This window comes from Homo sapiens, chromosome 13 (genome assembly GCF_000001405.40).
Source record: "Homo sapiens chromosome 13, GRCh38.p14 Primary Assembly".
Classification (NCBI taxonomy): Eukaryota; Metazoa; Chordata; class Mammalia; order Primates; family Hominidae; genus Homo; species Homo sapiens.
Genome location: NC_000013.11, coordinates 101,705,795 through 101,724,304, shown reverse-complemented (window position 1 = coordinate 101,724,304; position 18,510 = coordinate 101,705,795). Strand labels below are relative to the sequence as shown.

Here is an 18,510-nt window from a genome sequence, read left to right as displayed (position 1 = left end):
TCATCCATGTCCATGAACTCATCATTTTTTATGGCTGCATAGTATTCCATGGTGTATATGTGCCACATTTGCTTAATCCAGTCTATCATTGTTGGACGATACAACTTCACTACATAGAAAATCAAGGTCAATGCTTCATGCTTTTGTCTGCTAATTTAATTAGTAATAGGAGTGAGGGATTGGAATGTGCTTTCAGGATACGCATTAGTTCCTTTTGCTACCTTAGCAAGTAATTTAATAGAAACCTTATGTACATTTGCACTTTCAAGTATGTGTGCTGATGAAAACTCACGTGATGCATTGATACTAAAGGCCACATTCTACCCCCTTGAACATAGGGAATGCATATGGTAGTTCATCTTAACTAAATCTAAGGGCTCTTCGTAAAATACCTTAAACTTTCAAAAACCTAAAAAGCAGTTTGGGCAGCTCTAATGCACTTGTATTTCTGATGGCAGATGACTTTAATCCCTAGTTTTCCCCAACCATCAGTCACTCTTATATGTCCTTTCTCAGGACTTCCAGAAATCATTTTCTAAAAAGCCACGTGAACTACTATGATTATGCCACCAGACACTATTTAGATAAATCCTCAGAGTTTATTCAGGTAGTTTCAGTTGCTGTCTTGCCATTCTGTTTTCTGCCCCTGTATCATGTCAATTATTAGATTTTTAATAACATAGCAGAAAATGAGTTGCCTTCTGCTGCCCAAGGGTCTTTTTCCATGATTGTAGGAAATGAACATTGAAATGATAATCTCCTGAAGGCTCTGGCTTATGGGAAGAGAGTTATTTGTTATTATTTTGTGTAGCTTTGAAGTTGACACTAGTATGACTATGTTGCTTTTGAACCACATGAAAGAAAGTAATTTAATGTTCTAGGATGTAAATACCGCAGCTCACAAAGATTGATTGAAGTGAATGAGAAGTTCATGTGTTGATATTAATGTGCAGTGGAAGGGATGTCTGAGTTTTCTTTTTTTGAGAATTAAGTTAAATGCCTGTCATTCTCCTATAGTGTGTGTGTGTGTGTGTGTTTTACATCATGGACCCACAAAGAGGCCATAGCTCCCATTTAAACCTGCTGTCCTAGACAAAAATCCATGCACACTCATATACATATTTTAGGTATACAGACCAGAGAATGTGAAGGGAGTAATGTCCTCTGTGGGCTGGAAATGATTGCTTTACAACAGGAATTCTGTCTCAATGGAATTGCTTTACTTCAGGGAAAACAGAAATGGGCAAACTGCAGTGGTCTATGCAGGTATGGATGGACCATTCTCACACCTAACCAAGCAATGTTTGCTTTTCCTCCTCCTTTCTTCCCATCACTAGTTGCCATGTACCGAGAACCATCTTTGCATGATGTTGGGGAAACGGTCCCGAAGCCTGGGGTGACGCCAAGTAAAAGCACAAGTGCGTCTGCAATAATGAATGGAGGCAAACCAGTCAACAAGAGTAAGACAACATAGCCAGATCCTCACAGGTGTTGTGACTTATTCGTCCTGAGCACAGTTGAGTGATTTATCCTCACCAGACATTCCTGCTCCGTGGCTGAAGAGCAGCAGGAAGTAAGCTAATGCTTATTCTTTGCTGTCTCCGAACTTCTCTGTTGCAAGTGGATAAATCTCAACCTGTTGCACCCCCCACAACAAGAAGACACCTGGATAACCAGCTAAACTCAGACCATGGAATGCCCTACCAGATATGGAATGCCTTTTTAATATCTTTTCTGTGACTGTGACACTTCATGTGAATGACATACTTCACAAGTACACTCGATACCTTGCCTGCTGACAGCTACCCATAATCCTTTTTGAGTCCTGTTTCAGCGAAATCTATGTGTTTAAGTTCAATTTTGTAGCACACAAATAATATTGAGTAATTTCTAGTTAGACGCTGTAAACCTGTGCTATTACGGATTTCTCTTCTTCCCATTTTTACAGGGCTGCTCGCTCCACTGTCTGTGACCTTTTGCAGGGATTTTGTTCCTCTAAATCTTAAATGTTGCAGTTGGCTTAGGTCGGAGAGCAATCAGGGAATCAGGAAGCCTTCTAAACCTATTATTACAAATTGCATCTATAAAGAAAGATTAAGAAAGATTGTTGTCTCTGGCTCACACTATCGATTAAACACACATATACGCTCTGTCCAGTAGCAGATACTGTGCTCCCAAGGTCGGCATTGCCTGGGTGGGAAATGGCTCAAACACAATCCAGGGAAGCTCTCTATGATATGTGTTTGACATCCCCCTCTAGTTTCTTTGTGTGTGTGTGTTTTATACATATCACAAGCTTACTGGTAATGGTAACATTTGCCTTGCCCAGCGAGCAAGACCCACTGGTTTTTGAGAAAGTGGGTCCAAAGATTTCTGTAGGCCTTGTAGGCCTGATTAAGGTTCATTTTTCATCTATTAATTCTCATTATTTGGAAAAAAAAAAAAAGGAAAATCAGTAATTATAACCTACAAGAATTGCGCTACCTAAATCCATTTCAGATATACTCCGTCCTGTTTTTAATGAACCAAACTTAACGCCATCCCCGTTTCTGGCTGCGTTCCCCTCATACTCAGCAGAGCATGGGCAAGACGGCTGTTGTGTTCTTTCCTGCAGCAGCAATGCAAACGTTAGTTATAAATTAATTAGACTTTAATATTTTTGGTGTTTAATGACAAGTTTTTAAACTGGACATATTAGGAAAAATATTTTTTTTAGCTCAGCATGCTGAGTCCGGTACTGTGTATTTCACCAGTACATGCCTCTAGCTCAGCATCTGGGGCTCATGTTGCCCAGTGGCTGGGTTAGAGGTGCCTTGCCATGATCTCAGAATACAGTCTGTTGAATTATCCTAGATGAAAATAAAGGCAAACCAACACATTCATCCATGAGGATTTTGGTCCATTCCATTTATTTTCTTTTATTTTGCATTCTTAATTTCCTTTTTAGTTTAACACTGTTTGTTTGAGCTTAGGGAAGACAACTACCAAGAAAGGCCAGGAACAGTTGACTACACAATGAAGATTCCATGCAAAATGTTCAATATTGGATCTAAAGGGGTTCAAAATGTTTCATACTAAACTGTTTGGGAATTTATTTGTTAACTCTGTGTACACCTAATAAAATTCAATGTTTTCTTCTCAGAAGAGTTCATTGAGACCAAACTGAACCTCATTTATTGAAAATTATATGTGGGATCAATGTACTGGCCTCTTGTTATTCTTTCTATGTGGGAGGATGACCCAGTCATCATTTTCCCCATCTGCACTGTATTTATTGGGAAATTATTTTGTCACTGCTTTCATAAATCTTCTTCATGACAGCCCTTGCCCAGCATTAAAAAATTCTGGCCTGCTTAGCTGATTAAAGGTTTAGTAGAAATTTAACTGTTTGTTTATGCTTATTTCATTTTCATATTGGATTCTACTTGAATAAATAAAAAGTTAGCAGAACGTTTGAGTAGATTTATTGCCAATGATGCTAAATTACAAATCTAACAAACAAAATGATTCCTTTGGTCATTTTTGATTTGGTGTTATGTCATCTTGAAGCCTATTGTTTTTAACAGGAACAGTTAAAATATATTAGATAACTTCCATTAACCAATTATTTTCAGAAAACATAGATCCCATAATATGTGGCCAACTATATGAGTAATTAACTAACTTGTAATACAGTCAAATGGGCTTATGGACACTACTTACAGCAGCAACACTTCACTTCACACAAACACACACATATACACACACACACACACACACACACACACACACACAGAGCAAACACCCCCATCTATTTGTTACTGATAATTAGCCCTACTTGCTGGTTTCTTTTTCCCCTGCAAGTCTGTTTATTGGTTTAAATTAAGACAAGATTTATTTTTGTAAATGACTGAGATTTATGTAAATGTGTATCTCTGTTGTGTTTTATATATGGGGTGTCTATAAGGGCATTTATCCCTATGAAGGATGTCAAATACTTTCTTCTAATATATGTTTAGACATATTGCAGAGGGGTCCTTGTTATTTGTAATTGAGTTAGGTCATTTACTTTGTGTCTGGTCTCACCTGTAGCATGGGAAGAGGACAGCAATGATGAGCTGCATGTAGTAGGTACCTGTGTATCAAGAACTGTTGGTATGTATTGCTAATTTGCATACAAAGAGTTTGTCTGTCTGCATTGTAGTTTGTGTTTAATATCATTTGTTAAATTCACAAATACAACATATTGAATAAAATATTTATATGAAGGCATATTAAAAAACATCAAACAACTTTATGTAACAAAATGGCATTGCATTACTCACCAATATAGAGAAATGTCATGTAAATAAGTTGGTAAACTCAATTTCCCCCTTTACCATGCCAAAGAAAATTTTAGCTCTTTGATGATACCTCTCTTGCTATTTGTTTGGGATAAGACTTCGCCATTTTTTTCCCCTCAGAAATTAAGTTTGCTGTTATTAAGTAAGAAGTGCAATCTGTCACTACTGATGTTCCGTATAGTAAATCTGATGGAATTCATTTGTATTTAGACTGTGTGTTTTGTACCTCCATGTGCATATGTCCATTGTATCAAGTCTCTATAATACTCCATTCCTTCTGCATGCATATCTGGTGTGGGAGGGTTATTTCTACTGATTTGTTATAGTAGCTGATTGCTTTGCCAGTCCCTCAACAACGCTCAGAAATGTTGTTTTGGTATTTCAAGTGACAACATTTTTGTTTTCTAATATAAGATTGCTTTTTAAAACATTTTGCTACCACTTTACTTGGAAAAATTAGAGAAGACATGACAATTCTCCACCCTATGTAAAGAGCAAAATGGAACTGAACATCATTTCATTACAAATCCTGAAGAATTTGGAGATTCTTGCTCTAAATGTTTGCTTGTCCTGAATGTTTTTGGGTAGCAGTGGCTTAAAGAGATCCACGATGGGTCCAAAGGACTCCCGCTCCAGTTCTTCTAATAGTTTGCCTCTTGGGGAGCAAGCAGAAGTTCTTTATCATACCTAGCCACTTGCTTAATTAATGCTTTAAGCACTAAAAGTTGTTATTTTTATCAGGATGAACAATATCAGATTTGGTTGTCTTTAAAAGCAAAAACCAAAAACTTATTCTTTAAGTAAGTTAGACACGTATCACTTCATTTAAAATTATCTCCCTAATATTATGGATCATTAATATTTGATACATATTCAAAAAGAGACCACATTGACTAACATCCAGTTGAGAACAAGATGAAAATAATTGAAATATTTTTTCCATTTTAATTCAGAACAAGGCTATATCAAGGGAAAGCGACTGGGCTAAATCCTCAATTTTTTTTTCCAAAATGCAGGCATATCAAAATCCAGGATGTACATGGTCTTACTTTGAGTGAAATAGTAGTCATAGCTGAGGTTTCTTAGCCTACAATGTGACATAGGGCCTGTTGACTCTCTTGAATATGGAGTAGGGTTTCAAAGTGTTGACAGTTGAGTCTGCAAACTAAGGCTGAGTTATATTTTAGTTTTTTTTTTTTTTCCTGGTTTTCACTAAGTCTAATTCCAATGTCTACTGGCAGAGATTGTGTTTGCATTTGAGGTAGTGGAGGGCGGTACTTTCCAAGTGCTGTTGGAATCCAGATAAACTCAAGGAGCCCAGAAAGACAACGGGTATAATGGCTCTCCTCTTATGACTTAGCACTTTAGTTGACTTTTTTGAAAAAGTCTCTGGGTGGAATACCTCAGTGATGATGATTTGCCAAACAAGCAGCGTTAGTGCCAACACCTTCTCTAAACTTGCTGCATCCCTTCCAATTGACATTAATCCCACTGCAACTTCCTAAAAACAGGAATGAGCCAATGAGATTTGCTTATTTTCTCTCACCCATTACAAGTAAGTTTGTTCTTGCCCTGCTTGTTTTTTAGAGGGAGTTTCTATCATAGAGTTGAAAATCACATTTAAGAAGGAAAGAGTTTATGTCTTTACATGTAACTATTTTATTTTTTCCAATCTAAATTCAATCACTTCTTAATAGATATATTGGTGTTTGCATTGCTGGCATCAAAACCACACATACACACACAAACACACACATACACACAAACATAGTGGACAGAAATAAGTAAAAATATTTCTGTTTTCAAAGAAAAAGCATTCCTTAGAGTTTAGGTACCATTAACTTCTACTATAATACAGTTCCGGTACTATGGTTTCTAACTAAATGAACACTAGAACAGAGCTGACTATATTTTCATCTTTGTCCAAAATTTTAGATGAATCACATTTTGAACTTTTTATGGTATGATAATTTCTCCAATATCTAAATTCTTTTTCTGAGAAAACAAATGCCGAGGACATTTTTGACACTCTTCTTACATGAGACTATGAAAAAGAGCAGCACTTTTGTTGTAGTTGTTGTTGTTAATAAAAAGGATAATAACATACAGAGGATTATAAGAAAAATAAGACATACCTGAGGTTTTGTGATGAGCTATAGAGAATCAAGGGCAGTTCCAGTGGAGCTGAGGCTGACAAAGTACTGCCCAGCTGCCAGCCAAATCCACCCTTAAGTTGCTTTTGTATGGCCTGGGAGCTCAGAAGGAATTTTTTAAATTTTTTTTACAGCTTTAAAGTATTAAACAGAAACCAACAAAGAAGAATATGAGACAGGGACGTACGTGGTCCGTAAAGTTTAACTTTCTGATCCTTAATAGGAGGATAAGCGCCGTGATAGAGAAATCCAAAGGTCATTTGTATTACGATGGCTAGATAATGTAATGAATTCCAATGTCTGTGCATCAGCGAATACGTCATCAAAATTGCTACAAAACAATAATAATAGGTTGTTCACAGCTTAAAATGTTTAGGTAGTGAAGAGGAAAGAATATAACCTACATTATTTATTGACTACTTATATTTCCCTCATTTTACGGAAGAGATCTATCAATTTACGTACTCAATAATAGAACTACAACATGGTTGCACTCCTTAATCTCAGGATAGAGATAACAATTTTTATAAATCTATTACATTATGAGAACATTGTTAGTACTATAAAAATCAGGATCAGTTAAATGTTCTCTTAAAATAATTTTCAATATTAAATTTTTAAGTAACTCAGTGGATGCATATTTTCCTTATTTTTGGAAATTTGACTTATAAAGTTTAAGCCATGACTAGAATATTTACATCATTAAAATAAAATTTCCAAGTAAAAATTTTCATCTTAAAGTAATACGGAAATGATTTTGCTACATTATTCTAGGATTTTACAAAGTAATTCACCTTTAGAAAAAAAGTGGTTTTTTTTTTAGCTCTAAATAATTAAAGGTTGCCTAAACTAATGTGTATAAGTAGATTTACCTGTAAATATGTAAGGGAAGTCCCAATTATTGTACACTTTCATAATTCAATGTGAATTTCATACAAAGCAAAGTTTCACCATTAAGAAAATAAACATTTTGTTCCTATCACTGAGTGAATATTTGTAATTTCTATTTAAGCCATTTCTAGATTTTTTTTTTTTTTTGGTCTTTTGTGAGCTTCTGAGATTGGTGCCATTTTATCACAGTATTTCTCGTCTTGACTTCTTTGCATGACCCCAGGTTTCCAGTAAGTAAGGTATCCTTAGAAAAAAAAGTATTTTAAGGGAAATGGATGCATACTTCAGGCCCATTTTATATGTAACTCAATATTGTCTTTTTAAAAGGCCACACTACCATGGAATAAATTAAAATAAAAAATCAGATTTCTTGTACGCATAACCCCTGCCCAGTTTTAAAAATGTGATCCCTTATTTCTAGAAACCTAAAATAGATATCCCTGAATAACAATTCATTTTTAATTATCAGTAGATATATATACTGACACAGAGTATAAACAACTTCTGTCACTATTTATTTAAAATGTTAAATTGTACATTTTTCATAATTTCTTTAAGAGAATCTTCTTTGGTGAGTTTAAAGTGAGAGTAGACAAATAACTTAGTGGCTAAATGATTTAATGTCAGATGACTTAATGACCAGTTTTTGCCCTTGATCCAGCCCCACTCTGATATTCTACCTCCTGTGTGCTTGTCTTCATTGTCCCCATATTAAAATGGTGACTGATACGGAATTCTGGAAAAATCTGATCGATTAATTAATGTGAATATGCATGTTTTCCTTAGATTCTAATATGGTCTTTCTTGTGTAAGAATGTGGATTTCTAATAGCCATATAACTCAATGTTTCTCAGTTTGAGCCCTATTGGCATTTGGGGCTGGATAATTCCTTGTTTGGGGGCTGTCCTGTACACTGCGGGATGCTCAGCAGCATCCCTGGCCTCTACCCACCAAATGTCTGCAGCATACCTTCCTACCCGACCCAGTGTGACAATCAAAATTGTCTGTAGATGTTGCCAAATGACTTTTGGGTGGAAAAATTGCTCTCGTTAGGAACCACTTATGTTAATTATGGAAGAATCTTTTTTTTCTAATGTTATTTGCATCTAAATTTGCATAACTCATTTCTAATAGGTACTCGGATTTCATTCGTAATTCAGAAATAGAAAAACATACAATGGTCTTTTTAACCTGTCCTAGTGGTGAATATACATGGTTTCCTTCGCATTTATCTGTTCTAATGGCCCAGAAAAAATAAGAATCCAGACCTCTCTCATGTAATTGTTAAGGATATTCTGAGCCAAGCCAGATTTCACATGCATTTCCATTCCATCCATCCCAGCATTCACAGTTTCCACAGCTACATATTCCATTCCCTGCAATAAAATACATATAGGTATCATGATTATGATCAAAATGTGCCAAATTTAAACATGCTATTATAAATCACAAGTGTCCACAATGAAATCATTTCATTCATCCTTGGTAGATTTTCTTATTGTGCAATGATGTTATTATTACATCTTATTAAGCAGCTGCGAGACATCTAATCTTTCAAACAATTAGTGGCATTTATTTGGTGCCACCCTTTACCGATCAGATAGTCACCATCCTGTATCACTCCAGCTAGGCTTTTAGGTGACAATTTTGTTTTCCCTTAAAGAGCAAGTTATATCTGACTTATGAATAAATACAGAAAAACATAAGGCTCTTTGACATAACATGAGGCAGGCCAAGTAATCCGTGAAGAGAGTCTTACGTAGTAAGGATGGGCAGAAAGCAAAGGTCTAACTTAATGACACACAAAGAGTCATCTTTTACCTTCAGCTAGAGCTGAGGAGAAGTATACATGTCTCTGTTTCCTCGTAACTTGGCTAAACAAATGAATTTATAACCAATTATGAGGACTCAATAAATTAGGATAGCAGTGGCTATGACACGGCTGAGCCCTCTTTATACCTCTCCCCCATACACACATCCAGTTCCCTAAAAGCAACCAACACATCAACTAGTGGTACCCAGATTCTGTTTAAAAGAATATTTCATTCCCTATACCATGTTCAAAGTAAAATGGTTGCCAACAAAATTCTTTTCTGTGTTCAATATACAACTGCATACATGTGAGTTTGAGGGTGGGGAGGTTACTTTGTGGAAGGATCCCAAATAATCACAAAATTTAGCTTCATTCTCTTGTATTCTTCTATGCCTAGGAATAATGTGAGGCTTTTGTGAGGGCTTTTTCCCAAATGCCCACTTCGCCTTTGGTAGATATTTCATATTCACGGTTGGCCCTGTTGGTCCAGCCACCTAAAGCATTGCATGACGAGTGTCTCTTGGCTCTATAACAAACTGTGGCATAGAGCAATTAGAAAAGGTTAATACTGCACCTGTACAAATGAGACCATCATGTTTGTCGCAGTCTCTGTCATCACAGTCACAGAACTCCCCAGAAATATACCACTCTTCAGCAGAACAAATGCACTTCCCACAATGACAAGAACCTGAAATTACAAAGGCTATTACTCACCATCACCTTATAACTAAAGGTTTCCATCTCGAATAGAATATCGTTGACACACTGACAACAGGCTTCTAATAACCCATCATCCAAAGGTAAAAGTGTATTGAATGGCTGGTTTCTCAGAGGGGAGCTTTACTTACTGTAATTCATAAAGGTCACCCAGGAAAGCCTTCATTATGGATCTAGACAGTTGCAATTAGCCTTGAACAAATGTCCCATGGCCCAGTCTGGTTGAAATGTCAATGAGAGCAGGATGGGGTTGATTCTTATAGATGGTCTTCCAAAAAAGTATTCAAAAATAGATTTTTTCCTCCTAAATTGAATCATGTTTTTAAAGTGCCTGCTCTTTAAAGGAAATGAATAGGGAATTGTATTAAATTAGGTTGCATTTCTAATTAAAACAACTACTAAATTATTGTGCTTATAATTTTGGATTTTCGTTTACATGATTTTCTTGGAGTAGGAGCACACCTGCATATTGGGTGGCTAATTAAAGTGCTAAAAATGCATACAGTCACTCAGTATATTTGCCTTGTGAGACTCATCCTCAGGACCCTCTGTCATAAACTGGGATAGCTCAAATTACTCCCAAAGTTCATATTTTATGAGGCTCTGGATTCAACTCTTTTTCCCTCCACTTCACCCATTTCTCCTACCTAACTAAAAAACTTCCTCTTTGGTTATTTAAAATATCTTTACTTACTGAGTAAAAATTTTATTAATGATATATTTAAAATAAAAGAAAATAAATGAGATGATGAATGGTATCCAAGACAGAAGTTCTCTCAGTCTAAACAGCTTTCCATGACAGACTAAAAACCCTTACATGGAAAAACTGCCTCAACGACAGCAGGAAAGACTTTACAATGAAAAAGAAACAAATAAAAAGGACTTTCTTTTCCTTCTGTTTCCTTGGGTTGGTTGTTCTTTCCAAACATGACTTCCATTTACTAAAAGATGGCTGTATTCTTTTTGAGTCAAAATCACGTTGAAAAAATGTGCAGTTGAAAAGAGTATTTTGACATATTTAACAAAACTGCAGAATTGGTAAGTTCAAAATATATTGAAAAGGGGCAAGAATCAATCATTAGTGCTTCTTTTAAAACACAGTGATTAAAAATGAGTTAACAGCCTGGGTGATTAAAGTGATCAGGAAAAAGGAGTTGTGGTCATCACAGATATCATGAAAGGATTCAGGTTCATGTGTCTCAACTATGTGATATTTCATATCAGGGAAACTGGTATATGCATTTCAGCTGCAAAAATCCCCAAAGTCCAAATTAAATGTTTGCCATTTCTTGACACACTTCTCAAAGTAAGAGTGCAGTCAGAATTATTTAGATTGTGACAATTGTGTTTTTTAACTTCTTGCGTAGCTATGGCATAATTGTATTTAGTCTTGACTTGTTTTCCTGAGGGTCCAGGTTGATTTGCATGCTCTTGAGGAAATATACACGTCTTCTCAGTTTTAATAATTGACTGACAGCCCTGTGGTTTCTCAGGACCCAGTGAGCTGCTGCTCCCAGGTCAGTCTGCAAAGGATGCTGGTTCCCTTGTGGTCTCATCAAGGTGAGGAATTTCCTGATTTTAGAGATTTCTTTATCCTAATTTTGAAGACTTTCTTTCACATTTCTAGGCATAAAAAAATGTACAGCACTCTACTGCTTGTTTAACAAATGGATAGTGATATATCTGCCAACAAAGACCACATGGAGTATTTCATTGACTATCAGAGAAGTTTCCTCGAAAGGCACCATACTTAGTGTTTTATTTCCATGAGTGAAGGAAAATTAGTTATTTGAAGTATTTGGCTGTCTTTAGTTGTTTCTAAAGTAGTGCTGATTTTATATGCCCATAATATTCATATATACACCCAGGATATCATTTTATATATGTCACAATTCATGAAATATCTTATATTTCATCTTCAAACTTATCCTCTGGCCCTGGAACTATTCTAATCACTGCTCTTGCTTCTGGAATGCTTAGCTTCATGCCATAGTAGAGCATTTTCAGAAAACTGGTAAGCTCAGCTAAAGCTAATATGGCATATATGGATAGAACATTTGATGAGTAAATTCCAGTTCTGAAAGTCTACTAGTCGCTGAAATACTTAGAATAAAAAATGAGGATTGATTTTGTATGTGTCATGAAACAGTAGCATTTCTAGGTCAGCATTTTCCCAGCTGTGTTATTCTTTCCTGTTTGTCAATGCTCAGTGCATCTTAGAGGTAGGAAATTATTCTACTGCTTGTGAAACTAGAACTAGATAGCACATAGTAATAACACAGTGTGAATAGTTATTAGGACCTATTATAGCACTTTTCCTGTAGAACGCTCTAGCTGTTTTCTTCCATAACATGGGTCAAATTGTGCCTCTCTTAAATGGGAAGCACACAGGGAGAGGGTTCCATCAGACAGATGTAGGCTGCATGACTATCAAGAGGTGAGAAATGGTTCAACTCAGCTGGCCAAGACCCACTCACACCCCTGAGACCCAGCCTAGCCAGAGAACAGCTGGCTGATCTTGGCAGGAGTTTTAGGGCAGATAGTTCATCACCACAGCACCACTAATCCATTCATTTTCTTTCTCAATATAAGGACCCTTGAGAATGTTCCCATCTCCCTTCTGTGCATTTTTGCTGGCTTCCATCCCTGGGGAATCAGCCACATTTTCTCATGTGTCTTCAGGGCATCTTAGGACATAGGAAGGGGAAAGAAATGAAATTTTACCTTCAAAGATGAGAATGGAAGAGAGAATAAAGGAAACTGTCCTGGACCTCACAGGCAATAAACAAACAGTTAACTGAAGACTTCACTCTGATTCAATCCACTCTTCTTTTTAGTGATCTGCCTATCTGTGATGTATCTCCAGGCAAAAACTTTCATATACAGTAGTTTAAAAATGAGCTGTTTCTTCCTGCAGGTCTGACTGCACAGGCATATTGAGCGAGGCAACTTGAACACCAGGCTGAGGCCGATTTTGTGAAGCATCTTTCACTCTTTCTCTTTTCTGGGGATGTGGGACAGGTTGTGGGTGGGTGAGTGTGTGTGTATGCTGGACTTCTTTGGAAGATGTGGGACCCAAGAAGTATCACTGTGAGAGTTTAAGGAGACAGTTAATGACATGTGTTTACAGCCATTGTCACACAACAGCATCTGTAAGAAGATTGGACGTGATTATCTGGATCTAGCTTGAAGTAGTCAAGGCAAAGATATAATTGTGTAGTCTTGAAGCCAAATAAATCCCCAAATGAACAAAACAACCCACAATGAATTATATCATGTACTTTGCAAAGGTAGCTAAGCTTAGGGAAGACCCGGCACTGCACTAACCTCATCTCTCTTGGTTATTCACAAAAACAATTTGAGTCTAAGGGCAAGGCACCTTTGTCAGTTGCCCATTCCATTACTAATGTTGGACTTTCTTTTTCATTCAAGCCTGACAAAATGCTGCAACCTGACATCCCAGCAGGCAGTTTTCACTATTGTACTAACTACTCCATCTGTTATGAAGGTCACAAGAATGTATCTTGTTTTAAATTTTTCTATGGAGTGATTTATTGTCTTGGCTATAAATTTGTAAAGAAATAAAACGCTATTTCTTCATCGTCTCCTGAGGTGACAGCTTTATTCACAGCTCATGGGAAGTGCACGTTTCAGCCTTTTGGTGGGTACAGGCCACCAAGCTGTGTGCCATGGCGATCTCATGCCCACTGCTAAGATCTGTCCCATAATCAAATAAAGAAAGAACTTGAACATCTTTTGTGACCATCAGGGTGAGGGACTTTCATTGACAAATTTGAGAAAAATGATAGAAAATTTGGACAAGTCCATGAAATTGATCTAGAAATACATGGCCCCAGTCAAAAAATCGGAAACAGGTTTTTCTTTTCCATCACCATGTTAAAGTCCCTTAGTCTATTTCATGCATTACTTTTCCTGTGGTTCTCAGGGTGGGTTGTGGGGTAGTGCTCCCCACTGGAACCAGGAGTAACTGTGGCATCCCCATTATCCTCTGCGCCTATCATAGATCACAGTTCCATGATCCTGGTTTTATCCCCTTTCGTCATCGATAATCCAGCATTGATGTCTCCATAAAAGGGGAAAAGAAGGGAGATCACGATCAGCTGCTGCCAACAGTCCGGAGGCCGGTCCACTAACATGAATGTCAAAATGTGCAGCCTTGAGGCAGCTTTCATATTCCCTTTTAAGTTTAAGGACTCCCAAACTCCCTACCCATTGAAGGATAAACAAATAGTTTACACAAATATGCTTTCAACCCTTCATTGATCTCTGAATATATCGCCACCTCCCAAAGCAAACAATTTGCAAAGGCATTAGCTAGAGGGACTCTTTGGCTTTGTTTTGTTTTGTTTTCAGGAAATGCCTTTGAGTCAATATTTAGTCAACCTATTTTTTTCTTTGTATTTTCTACATTTATGATGCTGAAAGATGAGAATCTTTCCTAGGGCTGTAATGACTTTCATAAGCATATTTATTTTCTGAGAAGAAACAACTCTTGTTACATGACCTTCAGTTTAGGAAATGGAAGACTGCTATTTGTTACCCTGGAGGGTATGGCTTTGTGTGTTCTTCCTGTACTCGCAGTTGGACAGGTCTTAGGGAAGACCCGCTTATGGAAAGTGTTAATGATTCAATAGTGAGCGTAGTAAACACACAAACACAAACAATAGTTGACTCTTAAAATAAACAAATATAAATAAGCACACTAGTGTTTTAATATGTATGGGTATCTTTTTCAGTAGAGCTTCTGTGAAAAGCTTCTATTCTTATCCCAGTGACAATGCCATTACAGAAAACCAAGTAAAAAAGTATCTAAACTTAAGTGCTCTATGTCTGAAGCCATGCTCAGAGGAAAAAAAAATCTAATTCAAAAACGATTCATTCTCAGTATCTTTTTATACACAGATCATTCCCCTCTGATAACATCTCTTTTATTCTCTCCTACTTCTCTCTTGCAGTTTAATTCCATCCCTGCCTCCTTTCCTGCTTTTCTTTTTTTTTTTTTTTTTTTTTTTTTTTGAGACGGAGTCTCGCTCTGTCACCCAGGCCGGACTGCGGACTGCAGTGGCGCAATCTCGGCTCACTGCAAGCTCCGCTTCCCGGGTTCACGCCATTCTCCTGCCTCAGCCTCCCGAGTAGCTGGGACTACAGGCGCCCGCCACCGCGCCCGGCTAATTTTTTGTATTTTTAGTAGAGACGGGGTTTCACCTTGTTAGCCAGGATGGTCTCGATCTCCTGACCTCATGATCCACCCGCCTCGGCCTCCCAAAGTGCTGGGATTACAGGCGTGAGCCACCGCGCCCGGCCTCCTGCTTTTCTTCCTTAATCTCCTTCTCCCCAATTCTTTCCCTTGTTTTCTTCCTTTTAACCTTTCCTTCTTTTTGGTTGTCCCAACACAGCTTGAATTCAAGGTAGGTGTTTCTAGGGGCTGAAGCCCCCTGAGAACAGAACTGGTGGAAGATCTGTTTGGGGCTTGAGATTAGATTGAATTAGTGAGAGAACAAACAAGGCACAAAGCGATTGCTTTAAACTCATTTTCCACCTGCCTGCTGTAATGACATTAGGTTGATGGCATGGCCTCCTTGCCTGAGCATTGTAAATACAAGTGTTGAACACAGAACTCCTGGAAACCAAGGACACTGTCATCTATTGAAGTGAATACATCTGCATTCATTTTCATCCCCCTTCTTGGCACCACAGATAGTCACAGCATCCATCCTCTTTGATGTCTGAAGTTCTGCCAAAAAGTCTCTTTCAACTTGATAGCATTGGTCTTGCATACGAGGCAAAACAAAAGCTACTGTTTAGGGGACACACGGCACATCTTGCTTCAGAGACCTCCTTCCTTCGTGTGTGGCAGCCTCACTGGTGTGGTTCTTTGGCAACAGGATTCAGTGTCTCTAGCACACTTTTGCTTTGCTGTCTTCTTCAGAAAATTATTTACCTGGTCATCCTGACCAGCAGAGGTTTTGAGGGTAAATGAAGCTTCAGCCAGAGCTGTGCCTTGTCAGAAAAAAAAAAGTGTGTCTGTGGTGTAAAGAGGATACTGAGCTGAAGAGGAGAGCTGGGAAGCCCCTAACTTCAGTTTCTTTGAAGCGCTGCTCCCCAGACATGAGGTGAGAATCTTTCAGGCTCCCTGTGTCTTCCTAGTCACTAGCAAAGAAGAACACAACAGCTTTCTAGATGATGCCATATGCATTACAATGGCAGGATTTTAAAGTCCCTTCAAGAATAGTATACAGAAACATCAAAATCAAGGTGTTCAAAATTTAATCTATTAGCATTCTTTACTCAGGGGAATCCTCTTCCAATTTGTGTGTATGTGTGTGTGTGTGTGTGTGTGTGTGTGTGTGTGTGTGTGTGTTTGCATGTGTGTAGGATGGGAGATGGAGAAGGCTTGCTTTTTCCTTTAATATGTTTCCATGGCAAATGTTTTATTGGGTTGGTGGCTTCTATTCAACCAACTTGTAGGTTATAACCATTTGGCAGGCTTTTGTTTTCTTTGTTTAATTATTACCTTTTTTTTTTTTTTTTCTGGGAGATGGAGTCTTGCTCTGTTGCCCAGGCTGGAGTGCAGTGGTGTGATCTCAGTTTACTGCGACCTCCACGTCCTGGGTTTAAGCTCCTCCCCTGCCCCAGCCTCTCAAGTAACTGTAATTACAGGTGTGAGCCACAATGCCTGGCTAATTTTTTTGTGTTTTTTTTAATAGAGTAGATTTTTGTATTTTTCACCACGTTGGCCAGGCTGGTCTAGAACTCCTGACCTCAAGTGATCCACCCGCCTTGGCCTCCCAAAGTGCTAGAATTACAGGCATGGGCCACGGTGCCCAACCGAACAATTACCTATTTTCTTATATCAGGCTGCACATGTTTACTTGGAACAATTGGTGATTTTTAGGGCAAAGAAAATTCCATCAGACTTGTGGGATACTACCCCTCCCCCATAGCTTTTCTTTCCTTTTTAAAAAAATTAAACTAAATTAAATATTTTGTCTCCTTTTATGTCTTCTCACACCTTCAATCTTCCCCTGCTCCACATACAGCTAAATAATTTAGCCCCAGAAGTTCCCAAAGTCATATCTTTGGGCAGCTCAGATGCTTGTGATTACTTTTCTGTAGTTCTGAGCTGTGTTGTTTCAGAGGTGAGCCCAATAATCATTCTTTTGCCTTTTTTCCCCATTTTTGGGTCCATTTAGTATCTGGTATATTTTGTTGTCCTAATTTCTTGATAAAAGTATTAATTCTATTTCATTCAGCAATAACTTTGCATACAAGGATATTTTTGCATGAATCCTCTCACACGCATTTCATTTTCTTAGATCCAAAACTTCATTTGGTTAATCTTCAAGCTTCAAGTTGGGGACAGCAGAGGACATAGTGGTTTGCTTTCATGCAAAGTTCAGTCTGGGAAAGACAGTTGCTACATGCTGTTCTACAAATCATGTGTCAGAACAGGAATGGAGTCCAGGCACCAGCAGAGATACTCACCCTTCCCCGAGCACAATATGCCATCTGCTGATTCACACAGATTCTTGCTTTGTTCTTCCGTCATGTTACACTTCCGCGGATGTTGGCAGAGCTTTCCAAACCATCCTCTCTCACAAACACAGCGACCACAGGAACATGTGCCGTGGCCTGTGAAGCAACCACAGGAAAGGAGTGAGAGGATGAGGAAATAACCAGCTGAAGCAGAGAGTTTTAAGAAAGAAATGTGTAAACCATAGGATCTCATTTCCCATCCAACACATTCTTCTTTATGCATAGTCAATTTGGCATGTAATTGTTTGAAAGAACTTACAACAGAGTTCTAGCTTAACATAATAAATTTGAATGTAGCATAGGAGATGACTTGAGAGAAAGAAATCTTGCAATAATTTTAAATGGAATTATACCACCTTTCTTGATAGAAAATACTTCTTCATTTGCATTTTTATCAGTATGGAGTCTTAGCGCTATTCTTCATTGCACACACCATGCCATCCAGACCAATTTGCAAGGCTAGTCACATTACCACTGGTGGCAGTATTTATTGATTGTTCTCCTATTGCTTACTAATAAAACAAAAGGGTAACTTTCATACAAATGGCATTTGGTACTATATTAGTTTATCTGTATACCTCTCTGCTTACAAATAACAACAGATACAAGTGGAAGTAATGGTGTCTCTCTATTATTGCATAAAAATTAACATTAGCTTGGATTCATGTTTGGCACATTTTTTTTGGTTTGGTTCCTGACATTGGTTCCTGGTTTTTCAGATGTTTATCTTTTGGTATATATGTAACATTGTATTTGTGACAGCTATATACCAGGATGTACACCTGTTTATTGCCTGCCACCAACACACCATTAGATTGCATGATATTCCATTTCAATTTCTTCCATTTCAGTTTCCGCTCGACCCTTTATTCCTTTTCCTGATATGTGCATTACCTTACAGCAGGGTCTCTCTGAATCAACTATTTGCCTAGCGAAGAGTTACTGAGTATCTGTTATCAACAGAGCATTTTGCTATGCACTAGGGGATACAAAATCAAGCACCATGGACAAAGTGGTCCCTGCTCTTCTCCCAGGGACAGATACGCTCATCATTCAC

At 37.8% G+C, this 18,510-nt stretch overlaps 2 protein-coding genes across 25 annotated transcripts in view, besides 1 other annotated feature; one reads left to right on the top strand and one right to left on the bottom strand.

Annotated features, from left to right (window-relative positions):
• FGF14 (fibroblast growth factor 14) overlaps nucleotides 1–13,501 on the top strand; it is a 691,640-nt gene extending 678,139 nt beyond the window's left edge. For 11 of the 21 annotated variants that reach the window (NM_001321949.1, NM_001321944.1, NM_001321943.1 and 8 more), the window contains one exon: nucleotides 1,338–3,450. In NM_001321949.1, the coding sequence (NP_001308878.1) occupies nucleotides 1,338–1,474 (137 nt within the window). In that variant the 3' untranslated portion in view covers nucleotides 1,475–3,450. Of the gene's footprint in view, nucleotides 1–1,337 lie in introns of all 21 variants that reach the window. The other 10 variants (NM_001321947.2, NM_001379342.1, NM_001321948.2 and 7 more) reach the window with 1 other exon arrangement.
• Nucleotides 3,449–18,510, bottom strand: part of ITGBL1 (integrin subunit beta like 1) — a 268,182-nt gene continuing 253,120 nt past the window's right edge. For 3 of the 4 annotated variants that reach the window (NM_004791.3, NM_001271755.2, NM_001271756.2), the window contains 3 exons: nucleotides 17,403–17,549; nucleotides 9,754–9,867; nucleotides 7,859–8,742 (listed from right to left, as the gene is read on the bottom strand). In NM_004791.3, coding sequence (NP_004782.1) covers nucleotides 8,651–8,742; nucleotides 9,754–9,867; nucleotides 17,403–17,549 — 353 coding nt within the window. In that variant the 3' untranslated portion in view covers nucleotides 7,859–8,650. Of the gene's footprint in view, nucleotides 6,807–7,858; nucleotides 8,743–9,753; nucleotides 9,868–17,402; nucleotides 17,550–18,510 lie in introns of those variants that run through there. The other variant, NM_001271754.2, reaches the window with a different exon arrangement.
• Nucleotides 15,832–16,356: an enhancer, noted in NCBI's record as "OCT4-NANOG hESC enhancer chr13:102360299-102360823 (GRCh37/hg19 assembly coordinates)". NCBI's record gives its function as "activates a minimal SCP1, AML or CMV promoter by ChIP-STARR-seq in naive H9 embryonic stem cells {active_cell/tissue: H9 hESC(naive)}" and the evidence as "EXISTENCE:reporter gene assay evidence [ECO:0000049][PMID:30033119]".